This window comes from Homo sapiens, chromosome 3 (genome assembly GCF_000001405.40).
Source record: "Homo sapiens chromosome 3, GRCh38.p14 Primary Assembly".
NCBI classification, from domain to species: domain Eukaryota; kingdom Metazoa; phylum Chordata; class Mammalia; order Primates; family Hominidae; genus Homo; species Homo sapiens.
In genome coordinates this window covers 124,765,293-124,780,267 of record NC_000003.12, presented here as the reverse complement: position 1 = coordinate 124,780,267, position 14,975 = coordinate 124,765,293, and the positions used below count along the sequence as shown (strand labels likewise).

Sequence of the window (14,975 nt, the reverse complement as noted above, 5' to 3'; positions counted from 1 at the left end):
GCCTCTGCAGACCCAGAGTGGCGTTTGGGGGTGAATGGAGCAGTGGCTTTGTTCCTGGGCCAGAGTTGAGGGTCCCCGTGCCCTGCCTCAGAGGCCCTGCTGAGGGTCCCCATGGTCCCTGTGCCCTGCCTCAGAGGCCTCCCTGAGGGTCCCCGTGCCCTGCCTCAGAGGCCTCGCTGAGGGCCACTGTGCCCTGCTCTGGCATGCCTCAGGGAGCTCCCCACGCAGGGCAGAAGGGGGCCTCTGTGGTGTGAGCCTCCCCGCCAAGGCTCAGACTGGCCGAGCAGCTCCCTCAGGCTCTGGGTGTTGTCAGTCCTGGCTGTTCTTGCTTCCGACTGGGCATGGCCTCGGTCACCTCATGAGGCCCTTTAACTGTGGAAGTCTGTGATTTAAGCTGACAAAAAGGGTACCCCTGAACATCCTCCAAAAAGACCTGTGCCAAGCTCCCCCCACACCCCGCCATGATAAGGCAGTGATGTTTAATGAGCCAACACTATTCTAAGTGGTTTATAGAGGTTAAGCGAGCTAACTCACACAACAACCCTACCCGCAAGGCATTTTTACTGGCCCCATTTAAATATACAAAGGGGTGAAACGGCAGCCACTGCTGGTAAATAGCAGATTCAGGAGGCCAGCCCGGGCAGCCTGATTCCAGAATCCCTGTGTTAACCACCGCACTCCACTGCCCCCTTTTCCAGGTGGTTCTTCATAGCCCAGCTCTGTTCTCCACTGCCCATGTTTCATGGTGAACAGGCTCCTCTTCATCCTCAGCCTTATGCACAACTTCCCACCTGCTCCTTCTCCTGGGTCTGTTGGTGCCTGAGACCACAGGGTAGGGGGAGGTTGGGGAGGCTGGTGGTGGGAGGCCTCCCACACCCAGGTCACACGTTTCTCGCCCCCCAGTACTGCCTTTGGCTCATTGCCTTCCATCCCCTTTGCTCCCTCTTTTGAGATTGTCTCATCCCTCCACTTTTCCTGTCACATACCTCCTGGTTACCCCCTACATTCCCCAAAGACCTGATCCTGCCTCACACTCTCGCCCTCTGCCCCGAGTTCTGCTGTTCTGGGTGCCTTGCCTTTCCCTGTGGACAAGCTGTACTACACGTGGGTCTCCGAGTTCCTAGAGTGTCAACTCCAGTGGCACCCACGGCAATGCCAGCTCCCGTGTCCTGATGCCCCATGTGTCAGAGATCACTTGGAAGAGCACTGATGTTTCTGACAGCATTCCTGCAAGGGAGGCATTATCCTCATCAACACAGGAGGAAACGGATCATCAGAGAAGTTTAGGGACCTGCCCAAGGTGACCCAGGGATCTGAACTGAGCTCCAGCCCACACCCTCAGCTTGTCACACAGCTGGTCACCCTGTTTCCCTGAACTCCTCTGCTGTTGGAACTTAAGGCTTCAGCATCTCCCCATGGCCACACCCTCGCCCTCAGCCCAGCCTCTCCTTCCTCCCACTCCATCTCTACTGTGATCTCTTCAGAGTTTGCCATTCCCTTGATTCCTTCATTTCCCCATCCTGCACGACTTTCTTCTGAATGGTTCTCTTTAATCTGAAGAATGCTCAAATGTATCCCATCTGCAAAATCCCCCATCCTCCTTGTCCCCCATCTCCGCCTGTCCCCACACAACTAGGTTACCTGTGGGAGTCCCCTACGCTCACTGTCACCACCTCCTTACACCCTGCAGGCTGGATTCTGTCCTCACTGCTTTGTGGTGCAGCCTGGTAGCTGCTTTAGGATTTGCCTGCCTTGACCTCCACAGAGCGTCGATGCTGGGGCTTCCTCTCACGTCTTCCTGGGCTGACAGGGCCACTGGCTCCCCTTCTGCCTCCCAGCCTGCCCCTTCCTCTGAATAGCCAGGATTCAATTTTATAAGAGGAGGCAAGAGGCTGTGTCTTGGCCCATAGCCCACACAAGCACTTTTGCTGATGGAAAGCTGTTGAATTCTATACAGCTGAAAATCTGTATAAATAGACACATTTACAACTTCCTGTCCATTTGGCTATCAATCATTGTAACAAAGGTACTAATAATAACAACTTGCATGTGTAGCAGTTCACAGCTTGCACAGGGATTTCACATGTCCTTCAGTATCCCTATCTATGTGTAATGAAAATATTTTTTCCGCAGGCACTATTAAATTCAACTCACTTTGCCAAGGTAGCATTAGATGTTAGCTTTGTTTTGATGAAGAGTCCTGACTTAGGTCCTCTGAGCACTGTCCGCCAGGATGTTGTTCCCAATCCCCATGATGGTGATTGATAGGTTATTGATCCTTGGGACAGGGCCAAATGACGCTGGTCCTTTTGATGACATGTGTTCCTCCTAGGGCAGTAGGAGGGTCTGGGGCTGACCAGAAGATGCAGGCAATCTCTGAGCACGCAGGCTGAGGGAAAGGCAGGTTGAGGCTCAACTGCAGGAGCTGAGACATTTGGATTGGGATAAAATGTGACCAGGCCTATGTAGCTTTTGACTGTCTGTGTGGGTCACGCTTTCTGAAGGAGTCTTGGAAGTCTTGGTTTCAACCAAGGTGGCCCAGTAGTTGTGACTTGTGTGCCAGCTCCCACCACTTGGTAGAACCTACTTGGAGGACTGCATTGAGGATTCTGAGGGCAAGCCCAGGCCCCTTGGAGAAGACTCCTATGAGGAGACAGCGATGCCTGCCACAAGTGTGGAGAAGGAGATGTGCAGCGTCTGCTGTCACTGCTTTAGGCTGTCTCTGAAAGGCAGGGAACTACCCAAGGTAAACTCAACTGGGACTATTATCAGAGTCACAAAGGACAAGCATTCTGGTGGCTTCAGTGATTTCATCAAGTGTGAAGCCTGGGGCTTATTTTCTGGTTTGGCTGGCTAGGGCTTTGCTTTGAAGTCATCAAATATTGGAGGCCAAAAAGCCATGCAGATGAAGGTTTTCTGATGTCCCACAGCCCCTCCGTGGCTCCCACTGGCTCACCCCCAGAAACGGGCTGGGCTCCACACACCACTGCTTTCCTGGCAGCTTCTGGCTGGGCTCAAGGGTGGTAGGAAGCTTTTAGGAATGGCCAGCAGCTCTGGCCTTGGGTCTTGTCCCTCTCCAAGGAACGGTGGTGACCTCTGGTGAGCCACCAGCTCTCACCCTCTCCTACCCTTGACTCCTGACTCCTCTTCTTATACCCTAGGTCAGGGGCACACTCAACCGCCCTGACCTTGGGCTAGGCTGTGGAACTCTCGGGCCTGCAAGGTATCAGACATACTTAAAGCAGCTAGGCTTCCCTGCCCCCCAGCCATCCCAGGGGAAATGAAGAGCAGCAGGCACCTTGCCTGGCTCCCCTCTGCAGCGAACAGGCCTTTTCACAAGGAAGGCCCGTTCCCTTAACACACATGCCTCACCCCAAGCCCAGGCCCTTCAGCAAAAGAATAGGCTACCTCCAAACCTTTGACACTTCGGCATATTGTGCCACATTGTATTTGGATAATTTTATGGTGCAGCCAGCAACAATTAGAGTAGGAAAGAAAACAACACCCGCCTGGCCTCTGTGCCATCTTTGTTGCTTAGCGCTGAGCATGCCTTTTACTTTTTATATGTTTGTGTTGTGGGGATCGTGTGATGGACAAGCCATCAGAGAGTGCCAGAGCCGTATTAAGTCTACCCTTGGAGTGCATCAGTGTCTGCAACTCACTTTGTAATGCATCTTTAAAAATACGGGTTGATGGAAGGGCAGACAGGTGGATAGATAAGCAGTCAAGCAGCATGTCACATGTGAAGGTAGGATCTGGGTGGGGAGGATATGTATGTGCACTGCACAATCCTTTCAACTTTGCTGCAGGTTTGGAAGTTTTCCTAACAAAATGTTGGGGGGGTGGGGAATAATCCCCTCACAGTGAGCCATTTTAATTGAAACCAGGCTCTTGACCAGTGTGCTCCCTGAGGCCAGAGGGTGAGGGAGTTGTGTGGATTGGATCCATTTCACCTGTGAAGGCTCCCCGTGGGGAGTTCCTGCTGCCAAGGCTCAAAAGTGGTGCTGGTCCCAGACTGGTGGAGAGGAGGGGCAGGACCGCCCTCTCCCTTCCAGGGATGAGCTCATGCTGCCCATTGCCCCAGCCTCTGCTATGGAACCCTTGAGCTGCGAGACACTGCCCTTTCCAGTGGCTTACCCCTCACACGCCCGCATCTACACAGTTAAGACTGCATTCCACAGCGGACTCCGGGCCCGAGTCTGGCTTTCCTTCCCTCTCCTGGAGGGCTTGCCATCTGCTTCAGCGCTGCCTGTGACATGGGAGGGCACCTGCTCAGCACACATTTGCTGTGGCTCTGAGACCCCTGGGTAAGCAGAGAGGCTGTCTGAGCACAGGAGGGTTGGGAGGCTTGGCTGTCCAGATGGTCCCCCTGCCGCCTACAGGTTCTGGGCACCAGAGAGTGGACGGAGCCAGGGGAAGCAGGGGCAGGAAGTTAAGTGGCGGGTGAAGAGGCTTTCTGGAGTTGAGTTCTGACCTATATTATATTGTGGGTCACACACATTGGTCGTCCAGGGAAGGTGCTGGGATCCAGTTAACAAGCCAGGTAACTGACTCAGATGTGGAAGTAAAATGAAAGGTCTCCCCACCCTGCCTCTCCAGTCACCCACTAGTTGATGAGTGGTGCTCAGCAAATGAAACTCTTGGTTGTATTAATATCAGCCTTCACATAATGGCATTAGGGAAAAAAATAATACAAAGTTGATTTTTTAAAAAATACCAATTGTAGCACTGCGTTCTGCCTCTGATTGTGTAGAAAATGGAGACTCCACTGTCAGGCCCTTGGTCCCCTTGGAAGACGGTGCTATCTAGTCTTTTCACAGTCCAGCACGCTCACACTCCAGAACAAACACTCACACTCCAACACACCCTCACACACACACTCCAACACACACAGATGCTCGCACTCACACACATCCTCCCTCACACTTGCACTCCAACACACATACACTCACACTTGTACACACTCATGCACACTTGCACCCACTCACAAACATACACTTAAATACTTCCTCACACACACTTGCACTCACACACTCATACACACTCACACTCGCTTTCTCACAAGCACACACATTCCTCTGAGCCGAGTGATATTCCTGCCCCTCACACCTGCTGAGTGGGGGCAGCCCCCGCCTCTCCACCCTTGCAGGCGATGGAGAGGACCCCCTGCAAGGAAGGGCCAGGGCATCCCCCTGCAGGTTCTAGTCCTGGCTGCCTGTGCTCATAGGAGGCAGTAGACTTTGGCACTGAGATCATGGACTCTGGAGCCAGACTCTCTGGGTTTGAGTCCTGGCTCTGCTGCCACTAGCTGTGTGACCATCAACCATTGCTTCACCTTTCTGGGTCTTGGTTTCACCCCTTATATAACAAGGACAATAATGCCTGCCCCATAAGTCACTGTGCGGATTCATCCCATTTCTACGTGTAAGGTGCTCATATAGGAAGCACTGGTGAGTGTTAGCTGCTGCTGCTGCTGCTGCTGTTCTCAGCATCTGCTCCTAAATCATCCATTTCTGGGTTTCGGGTCCCTGGGCAGGAATTCAGCTTCTAACTAGGACTCAGGGAGAACAACCGTGTTTTCTGCTATGGCTGTAACAGATGACCGCAGATTTAGTGACATAAAGCAACACGGATTTATTTTCTTACAGCTCTGGAGGTCAGAAGCCTGAAATCATTTTCACTGGGCTAACATGGAGGTGTCGGCAGGGCTGCATTCCCTCTGAGGCTCCCAGGGAGCATCGGCTTCCTGGCCTTTCCAGCCTCCAGAGCTGCATTCCTCGCATTCCTTGGCTCTTGGCATCCTCCCCATCTTCAGAGCAGCAGCCAGCATCCTGGCTTCTGTTGTCCCACTGCCACCTTCCTCTGTAGTCCAGTCTCCCTTGCTCCCTCTCAGAAGAACCTTGGTGATTACATTTAGGGCCCACAGAGACAATCCAGGAGAATCCCTCATCTCAAAATCCTTAACTTAATCTCATCTGTGAAAGCTCTTTTGCTGTAGAAAGTAACAGTGATACTCTGGGGATTGGAGTGGGAACATATTTGGGGGCCATTATTCACACAACTGAAGCAGGAGGAAGCTTCCCTGGGTCCTGGCCCTGTGGCCCAACTTGGCCAAGTTCTGGACCAACTTGGAGCACCAGTCTAGACCCAACCCAGCCACACCCGCTGCCAGGGTCCCCTGCTGTCCCTTCATGCTGGCTCTAGGCCCTCTGTCTATCTCCCCAAACAGGCTCTGAGGGCAGAGTTGGTGTTCCATTCTCTGCTGAATCCCAGTCCTGGCATGTGGGGCACCAGATGGTTATGTGCTCATGTGTAAAGGTGAGCAGGTGCTGATGTGCCACATGTATCCTTTTAGGCCATGGCGAGTGTCACTGCGGGGAATGCAAGTGCCATGCAGGTTACATCGGGGACAACTGTAACTGCTCGACAGACATCAGCACATGCCGGGGCAGAGATGGCCAGATCTGCAGCGAGCGTGGGCACTGTCTCTGTGGGCAGTGCCAATGCACGGAGCCGGGGGCCTTTGGGGAGATGTGTGAGAAGTGCCCCACCTGCCCGGATGCATGCAGCACCAAGAGGTACTGGTTCCACTGACAGCCCCACCTTACTTCTCACCCAGGCCAGGCCTGTGGTCCAGCCAGGCAGCCCTCAGGGCCGGCTAGCCTCCACTCCTCACCTCCTGCATCTCCCACCCAGCAAGCCTCGCTGGGGAGCCGCATTCTTACCAACCGTAACTGAAACTGTGGCTTTCAAATGCTGGTTCCATAAGGGTTTTGTAAGAAAACAAAAACAGAACAAGAAATACAAAACTGCTACTCTGTTCCTAAACACGTTTAGAAATCACGAAATCACAGAGTTAAATGAAATTAAATTGGTGTTGGTACCAAAAATAGCACCTTCTCAGAGCCTTGAGTGTACTATTGTGTGCTTTCACAGGAGAATACAGTGTGCATCTTTTTTCAAATGAATTAAATCCCCCACACTGATATCTCCCAAACAGTGTTTCACAGAACCCTTATGGGAAATGCTGACAAACATCATCAGAAGGTAAATTGGAAAGAGGCCGGGCATGGTGGCTCACACCTGTAATCCCAGCTCTTTGGGAGGCCAAGACGGGTGGATCACTTGAGGTCAGGAGTTTGAGACCAGCCTGGCCAACATGGTGAAACACCCGTCTCTACTAAAAATACAAAAATTAGCGGGGTGTGGTGGCACGTGCCTGTAATCTCAGCTGCTCCGGAGGCTGAGGCAGGAGAATGGCTTGAACCTGGGAGGCGGAGATTGCAAGATCGCACCACTGCACCCCAGCCTGGGCAACAAAGTGAGACTCCGTCTCAAAAAAAAAAAAAAAAAAAAGTAAATTGGAGAGAAAGGCACCCGACCTAGATAAGGCATGCCAGAAACCACTGCAAATGGCTTTTGAATTTTCTGCTCCATTTATACAGATAATAGAACACGGGCTCTGTGCTGCTGCTGAATGCAGAGATTGTCTAGACCTGGGCCCCAGCCTTCGCTGACTCGGCCATGGCCTCCCATAGCCGTGCTGACCTCCTCCTGCTCAGCCCCGCATGCTCCACCAGAGTGCAAATGAGAGGGAATTACAGAATGATGCCCCTGGAAAGCAGGAGTGACATTTGCTCTTGGAGTTTGCTGGAGAAACAGCTGTGTCATCATTACCCATGCTAAGGAGGAAGGGACACAGAGGATCAGAAACAAATCATAATACAAACGTCGCTTCTCTTTGGCTGAGGAACGCATCTGTGATTTTCTCTTGGCAGATTTCCCTTCCAAATGTCTGGCTCGGGCTGATAATGAAATGAGTTCATGCTCCCTGCGCCTGCAGCGGCTGCTGGTCAGTCTGTGCTCGGAAACGTTCTGGGTGGCAGAACCCCTGGTTGGACATTTGCCATAAATAACCCAGGCGTGGGTAATTGAAAGCTGGCTGCAGATGGAGAGACAAGATAGACAGGGCTGGGTTTTAATGTGTTTAATTGGAGGAGATGGGGGAGAGTAAGGAAGAAGAAAAACAGATTCACTTTAGACCTGCTAAGAGCAGAGAAAAAACAGATCCAAGTAGAAACAGCCCGGGGAAGGTTAGGATCCTGGATCTGGAGCCCAGATAGCTGTGGCCATCCCAGCACAGAGTCAGCCATTATCCACGTTTTGTATCCGAGGGAGGTGCCCCCAACCTCCAGCTCCCAGCAGCAGAACCTTTTTGAGCCTATGCTTCTAGTCCTTGGGGCACACTAGGTAAATGGGGAGTTGGGGTCAAGCTAGGACAATACACATGGAGCTCATCAAATGAGTCTTGCCTTCCTATGGAGCAGCAGGCAATGGAGGATTGGCTTTAAGTCAAAGGCCCAGGGGAAAACAGCTCTAGCTTTAAATGTTTAAAGCATTTATTTCTTAGAAGACATAGACTTAATAATTTATTATTCATTACACAATATGAAGGGAGCAAGGAGAGCAAAGAGATGCCACAAGGGAATATCACGATTCCTTTTTTTTTTTTTTTTTTTGAGACAGGGTCTCACTCCCGCCACCCAGGCTGGAGTGCAATGGCACCATCACAGCTCACTGCAGCCTTGAACTCCTGGGCTCAAGTGATCCTCCTGCCTCAGCCTCCCAGGTAGCTAGGACTATTGGCTTGTACCACCACACCTGGCTAATTTTTATTTTTTTGTAGAGACAGGGTCTTGCTATGTTGACCAGGCTGGTCTCAAACGTCTGAACTCAAGCAATTCTCCCACCTCAGCCTCCCAAAGTGTTGGGATTACAGGTGTGAGCCATTACACCCAGCCCACTATTCCTTCTTATTTGTCTCTGGGCCACACTGACCCTCTGTCTCTTTCACAGCCTAGGTGGAACTTTTTTTTCTTTTTAAACGAAGTCCTTTTGATGGTGACTTACATCAGAGTCTGTTTTTTCTACTTGCTGCTTGTTAGGAGGCACCAGGTTTTGAATGTCCTACATCCTTTTTTTTCTGGGGGTTTCAGGGCAGCCAGTCTTCGTTTTCTGGATCTAACTAACCACACTTTTCACTTTGGGTGAGTTCACACTCAACACCCAGCTGATTTCAGTTAACAGGCTCTCAAGAGCAAAGTGTCTCTAAACAACTTAATTTTTTTAAAAGGCAGACTTATTTTAGTACATGACTACAATATATTACAAGTTTCAACCAGTACATGGGGCATATGAGTTAGACTGATATGTCCACATGGATACTTAGGGAGTGTTTCCTGGAAGCAGCCTGGAGCTATGGTTTAACAACAGAGAATCAGATGGCAGGGACAGAGAATCCTGGCCGGGAGAGAAAGCAGCCCTCTTAGCCCTGTGCTAATCTGGGAGGCTGGTGCAGGGGGAGGGTGGGGGATCGGGGGCAGCTGGGTCAGCATGAATGACTGAAGCTGGAACCACCCCTTCCTGGCCCCCAGCCAGGTCTCAGCTGCCCGCCTTCCGGGGCTGTGACTGTGGGGAGAGTTACCATCTTGTTTCTAACTTCAGAATATTTCCATAAAGTCAGTCCCAGGAGAGTGGGATTTTGTAGCCATTTCAGGGATGGTTGAGCTCCTAAGCATGTTAGAACCTCTTAGGAAGCCTAGTCTGAGAGGTGGGGCACCTGGCTGCAGAACCTCAAGTTCTCCTCCGTAAAATAAAGGGGACTTAGTGAAATGGTCTCAGAGCTCCCGTCCAGTTCTGCTCCTCCACTTCGCAGTTTCTGCACTGGAAATGTTTTAGTAGCTGGCCTCTTAATCCCGAGGAGTTAAGAAACAGATGATGATAAAGGCTCTACATTGCAGTTGCACATCCCTCTGTATTTTTGCCAGAGAGCTTTCTGGACACCCAGCCCCTTTGGTCCCCACAGGCCTGTGGGGGCACAGCGGCTGTCCCTCGTGTAGCTGAGGTCACCCCCTGCACTCTGATGGCCTCCCTGGCACACCTGGCTCTTGAGTCCTGACCCGGTTTCCTAGGGGCCTCTCCTGGTGTCTCACCCTCCTCGAAGGCCACCAGGCAGCACTGCATCACAAAGTCCCTGAGAGCAACATGCCCCAGCCCACTCCTCCCTGGAGCTTCGAGCTCACCATCTTATAGCCCCATCCCCCAGCCACCAGAGGAGCCTGGGACCTCTCCCCTTGAACATCAGCTTTACAGCCCGGCAGCCAGAGCTTAGCTCCCCACCCTGTGACCTCAGGAATCCTGTTCTCCCAGATGTCTCCGAAGACAGACAAAGAATGTGTGCAACTTGGTTTTGATGATATAAAGTATAATAATGACCATTTAATTGAACGTTGTAGTTAAGCATTTTCACCCACTATCTGAGCCACCACCTGCTGTTAGCCTGAGGTGGGAGGAGAGAGGCTCAAGGTGTCACTTTTTGGCTGCTCATCCATTTTCTAGAGGAGGCCCCTGTTAAAGAACAAGGGTTCCCTGGGAGGAGCCATCACCCTAGAGCCTGTGCCAGAGCCTAGTGTAGACTGATTCGTGGGTAAGTGGGCAGCAGGCCACGGGGGACCTGGCAGATGGGCTCTATCTGAGAGGGAGAAGGGGGCTGGAGCCCGAGATTCTCCGGGACAGTGGATCTCAGCCCTCGACATGCATCAGAATTGCCCAGGAAGCCCAGTCCCCGGAGGTGTGGTTGGGCCCAGGTACTGGGAGTTTCTCTTGAAAGCTCCCTGGAGAGTTGAACGTGCAGGAGGGTTGAGATCCCCGCCCTGGGTGATGACCAGGGCGTGATGTGGGGAACTAGGACAATGTTGGGGCATTGAGCTCTGACCATGGGAGTGTGAGGAGCTCTGGGAGGCCAGGAATACTGTTTTATCACCCAGAAACCTCTGGCTTGGAGCAGACTCCTCACCAGGCATTAGATGGACCAGAGTGCAGATGGATTTGTCTCCTGGTGTCAGAATTTGAAAGGTCTGCAACCTGACATGTAGACAAGACATGCCACTAAACTCACACAGGCTCCTCCAAGAACCCTTGGGCTTCCTCCCATAACAAGAAGAAAGGCAGAGCAGAAACATTCCCTGAGGCTGAACATCTGCAGCTGGAAAGAAGTGAAAGCCTTCCCAGGTCCTGCACTGTCAGGAGCTCAGGGACAGGTGTGGGACTGTTCTACATTATCTGACACCCACCTTTATCTCCTCTTTTCCAAAGAGATTGCGTCGAGTGCCTGCTGCTCCACTCTGGGAAACCTGACAACCAGACCTGCCACAGCCTATGCAGGGATGAGGTGATCACATGGGTGGACACCATCGGTGAGTGTGCTGCCACCACCCGGGCAGTCACGGTTTTTCTCCTTCCTGGGGAGGAGGGTAGTTTTAGCCTTGAGTCAGGAGGCACTGCCCAGGCTTCCTGGGCATAACTGTGGGCTCCCCATGAGGACCCGGTGCTGGAACCATCATCCACAGCTGATGGGAATGTAGAATGGTACGGACTTTGGAAAGCAGCTTGGCAGTTTCCTAAAAAGTCAAACGTAGAATCACCATACAATGTGCCAATTCCACTCCCAGGTATACAGCCTAGAGGATTAGGTCCATATGTCCATGTAAAAATACGTACAAAAATGTTCACAGCAGCATTATTCGCTATAGCCAAAGGTGGAAATGAACCACATGTCCATCAACGGATAAATAGAAAAGAAAACAAAGTGTGGTCCATCTATACAGTGGACACTATTGAGCCACTAAGAGGTGTGAAGCACTGAAACACGCTACGGCACGGTGAGGCCTGACCACAGTGCGGAGCAAAAGAAGCCATGTATTATATGGTTCTGTTCATATGAAATGTCCAACACAGAGAAAGCCATGGAGACAGAAAGTACATTAGTGGTGTCCTGATGCTAGGGAGAAGGGAAAATTGGCATTGACTACTAACAGGTGTGGATTTCTTTCTGTGGTGATGGAAATATTCAGAATTAGTGGGAATGGTTACACAACATTGTGAGTTGAGTAAAACGACTGATTGTACACTTTAAAATGGTTTAAATGGTGAGGGGGAAATTATGCACCTTGAAAGGGAATCTGTGTCTCAGGCTCCCCTCACTGGCAGGCTTCCCCTCTATCTTCACCTCTGGCTTCTGCAAACTCCTGGCCCCCAGCTGCCTGTCTGTCTTGGTCCTAACGTACATCTTTTGTAGACTTCCTTGTTCCCACCTGCCTATTTTGACTGACTACAGTCACGGCTTCTGAGGGTTTTTTGTCTCGAGACAGGGTCTCTGTCACCCAGGCTGGAGTGCAGTGGCACCATCATAGCTCACTGGAAGTCTCGACCTCCTGGGCTCAGGCAAACCTCTTTCCTCAGCCTCCCAAGTAGCTGGGACCACAGGCATGTGCCACCATGCCTGGCAAATTTTTGTTTTTGTAGAGACGGAGTTTCACCATGTTGCCCAGGCTGGTCTCAAACTCCTGGGGTCAAGCAGTCCACCTGCCTCAGCCTCCTAAAGTGCTGCCATTACAGGTGTGAGCCACCATGCCCAGCTCCTTCTTAATATTTGAGCTATATATGCATCCAGCACATATTCGTTGAGCGCCTACTGTGTGCCAGGTGCTGTCTATCTCCTTAGGAGACTGTGGGGAGTGGACCACAGTCTGGTTCCTCACATGCCTGTCTTCCTGCCCCTGCTTCTATCTTGCAGCTCAGGGCCTGGCCGACCTCAGGTTCTGCCAGCAGACCTGGGCTGGTTGCCCCTAACTAGGCACACATGGTCAGAGAAGGAAACAATGCCTTCCTGTGGCCCAAGGACTGGTTCGCTTGGTTTATAGCAGTGACAGCCGTTCATGCACAGCTGCTTCCCAACCCAGTCCTCTGAGAGAGCAGCAGAGAAAGCTTATGTTCCAATCCATCATTTACCCTTTTTCTTCTTTCTTCCAAGCTTTTTTCATACACACACTCACATGCTCACTCATACTCACCCAGCCCAGAAGGGAGCTGAGACAGAAAGTCCAGGCTTTCGTGTCTGATAACCACACTAATTCATCTGCTTCCAGGTTACAGCTCCGTCTAGCAGCAAGGTTGAAAAGGTTAAAAAGGCAAGAGCTGGAAAGCATTTACCGCCCTAGTGTTCACCTTCTGTTCCTCCCCAGGACCCATTGCCATTGCCACTGCATTTCCTCACCCCTTGCCTCACTTTGCACTTCCCCTAGTTCCTTTCTCTCCAAAAAACAGCCCGCTAACCCTCTCCCAGGGAAGCCTTGGAATGTAGGTAATGCCTGGACAGGGGACTGTGACACCCCCACCTTGGGGAATGGCAGCAAGGGGGCAGGGAGTTGCTGAGGCAGCTTGAGGAAGGGGCTTCTTAATATGGAGGAGGGAGGCCGGGCCACGTTCAGGGCCAGGCTGGGGACAGCCTGAGTTCCACACTGTCTCACTTTATCTCCAGGCATGGCCACCACGGTGGGCACCAGCCTCTCACCCAGTGTCCTCACTGCCCTGTGGTTCTTTTTGATTTTGCATCCCAGGAAGGAGTTGCTGCCTCTTGGCCTCTGTGGCCAGCTCTCAGCCCCAAGTGGCCTGGGCTGTTTCTCAAATATGAAGCCCCACTCAAGCCTCAAAGGGGGCTGGGATGGTTTTTCTTTCTTTCTTTATCCCTTTAATTTCCGTGGCCAATCCCTTCACCCGTCCCCACCCCGAAACCATTAAAACCTTCTGTTATTTCACATCACCCCCGACTAACACTTCAGAGGCTTGGAGATCCTCTAATGTGTTCCACGTGTCCCCAAAGCCATCTAAATTCAGCCCTGGGCCTGCATTCTTGGTGTGAGAAAACTGAACTCATCTTCAAAGGCCCAGCCTCCCCTTAAGATTTTCTGCCCACACCCCCCATGCCCTTTCCTTTTTCAAGGCACTCGGCTCCCTGCCCCGACCATCAGTGGCTGTGGGCTGCTCAGAGAGACTCAGGCCATTCCCGCTTGGTTTTCTTCCAGTGAAAGATGACCAGGAGGCTGTGCTATGTTTCTACAAAACCGCCAAGGACTGCGTCATGATGTTCACCTATGTGGAGCTCCCCAGTGGGAAGTCCAACCTGACCGTCCTCAGGGAGCCAGGTAGGTGAGGGCTGCAAGGGCTCGGCCCACTCAGCCAGCCCTCAGTTCTGATTTCTGATGCCATTCTCTGCTCTGGGACCACTGCCCTTTCTGTCCTCATCGGCCTTTTGAAACTGCAGGGAGAGGAGGGATACAATTTCTTCTTTTTCTTTTTTTTTTTTTTTTTGACACAGGCTGTCACTGTGTCATCCAGGCTAGAGTGCAGTGGTGCCATCACAGCTCACTGCAGCCTTGACCTCCTCGGGTTCAGGTGATCCTCCCGCTTCAGCCTCCCGAGCAGCTGGCACTACAGGCATGCACCACCACACCGGGCTAATTTTTGTATGTTTTTGGTAGAGACAGGTTTTCACCATGTTGCCCAGGCTGGTCTCGAACTCCTGGGCTCAAACAATCCACCTGTCTTGGCCTCACAAAGTGCTAGGATTACAGGTTTGAGCCACTGCACCTAACCAGTACAATTTCTCATGAAGACCAGATCTGAGGTCACTGCTGCTCCACTCCTAGAGTTTAGAAGAAAGATGAATGTGCAGCTGGGGGCCCATTCTTGGGGCAAGCGCTAGTGGGAGCGTGAGTCAGGGCAATGGGAGTTATAGAAGGATAGGGCCCTGTCCCTGGGGAGGGTCTCATCTTGGAGGAGCACAGACGTGAAAGTAACCACAGAACATACCTACCCTGCACAGCCAAAGGCAGCAAGGAGCTGCTGTGTTCTGCAGGGAGGGTGCAGGGCATCTAGACCACCAGGGCTGGGCAGGGTATCACTCAAGTCAGGGAGCATCCAGCTCCACACACAGCCTGGGCGGGGCCACTGCTGCTTCCCAGCATGGATTCCAAGGACAACGGAGCACTGGGTTCAACATTCCTGCTGCTCCCATGCTCAGCTCCCAGCACCACTGAAGAGGTCAAGCTTTAATCCAAATACCAACATTCTGCCTC

The 14,975-nt window shown here is 52.0% G+C and overlaps 1 protein-coding gene across 10 annotated transcripts in view, besides 7 other annotated features; it reads left to right on the top strand.

Moving 5' to 3' along the window:
- ITGB5 (integrin subunit beta 5) overlaps nucleotides 1-14,975 on the top strand; it is a 139,471-nt gene that overhangs the window by 121,151 nt on the left and 3,345 nt on the right. For all 10 annotated transcript variants that reach the window (NM_001354766.2, NM_001354764.2, NM_001354765.1 and 7 more), the window contains 3 exons: nucleotides 6,356-6,578; nucleotides 11,155-11,255; nucleotides 13,923-14,042. In NM_001354766.2, coding sequence (NP_001341695.1) covers nucleotides 6,356-6,578; nucleotides 11,155-11,255; nucleotides 13,923-14,042 — 444 coding nt within the window. The remainder of the gene's footprint in view (nucleotides 1-6,355; nucleotides 6,579-11,154; nucleotides 11,256-13,922; nucleotides 14,043-14,975) is intronic.
- Nucleotides 2,449-3,162: an enhancer, noted in NCBI's record as "H3K27ac-H3K4me1 hESC enhancer chr3:124495953-124496666 (GRCh37/hg19 assembly coordinates)". NCBI's record gives its function as "activates a minimal SCP1, AML or CMV promoter by ChIP-STARR-seq in primed H9 embryonic stem cells {active_cell/tissue: H9 hESC(primed)}" and the evidence as "EXISTENCE:reporter gene assay evidence [ECO:0000049][PMID:30033119]".
- Nucleotides 4,594-5,309: an enhancer, noted in NCBI's record as "H3K27ac-H3K4me1 hESC enhancer chr3:124493806-124494521 (GRCh37/hg19 assembly coordinates)". NCBI's record gives its function as "activates a minimal SCP1, AML or CMV promoter by ChIP-STARR-seq in naive and primed H9 embryonic stem cells {active_cell/tissue: H9 hESC(naive and primed)}" and the evidence as "EXISTENCE:reporter gene assay evidence [ECO:0000049][PMID:30033119]".
- Nucleotides 5,310-6,024: an enhancer, noted in NCBI's record as "H3K27ac-H3K4me1 hESC enhancer chr3:124493091-124493805 (GRCh37/hg19 assembly coordinates)". NCBI's record gives its function as "activates a minimal SCP1, AML or CMV promoter by ChIP-STARR-seq in naive H9 embryonic stem cells {active_cell/tissue: H9 hESC(naive)}" and the evidence as "EXISTENCE:reporter gene assay evidence [ECO:0000049][PMID:30033119]".
- Nucleotides 6,741-7,455: an enhancer, noted in NCBI's record as "H3K27ac-H3K4me1 hESC enhancer chr3:124491660-124492374 (GRCh37/hg19 assembly coordinates)". NCBI's record gives its function as "activates a minimal SCP1, AML or CMV promoter by ChIP-STARR-seq in naive and primed H9 embryonic stem cells {active_cell/tissue: H9 hESC(naive and primed)}" and the evidence as "EXISTENCE:reporter gene assay evidence [ECO:0000049][PMID:30033119]".
- Nucleotides 7,456-8,171: an enhancer, noted in NCBI's record as "H3K27ac-H3K4me1 hESC enhancer chr3:124490944-124491659 (GRCh37/hg19 assembly coordinates)". NCBI's record gives its function as "activates a minimal SCP1, AML or CMV promoter by ChIP-STARR-seq in naive and primed H9 embryonic stem cells {active_cell/tissue: H9 hESC(naive and primed)}" and the evidence as "EXISTENCE:reporter gene assay evidence [ECO:0000049][PMID:30033119]".
- Nucleotides 9,112-9,191: an enhancer, noted in NCBI's record as "active region_20403". NCBI's record gives its function as "activates an Ori minimal core promoter by ATAC-STARR-seq in GM12878 lymphoblastoid cells {active_cell/tissue: GM12878}" and the evidence as "EXISTENCE:reporter gene assay evidence [ECO:0000049][PMID:35858748]".
- Nucleotides 11,271-11,320: a silencer, noted in NCBI's record as "silent region_14654". NCBI's record gives its function as "represses an Ori minimal core promoter by ATAC-STARR-seq in GM12878 lymphoblastoid cells {active_cell/tissue: GM12878}" and the evidence as "EXISTENCE:reporter gene assay evidence [ECO:0000049][PMID:35858748]".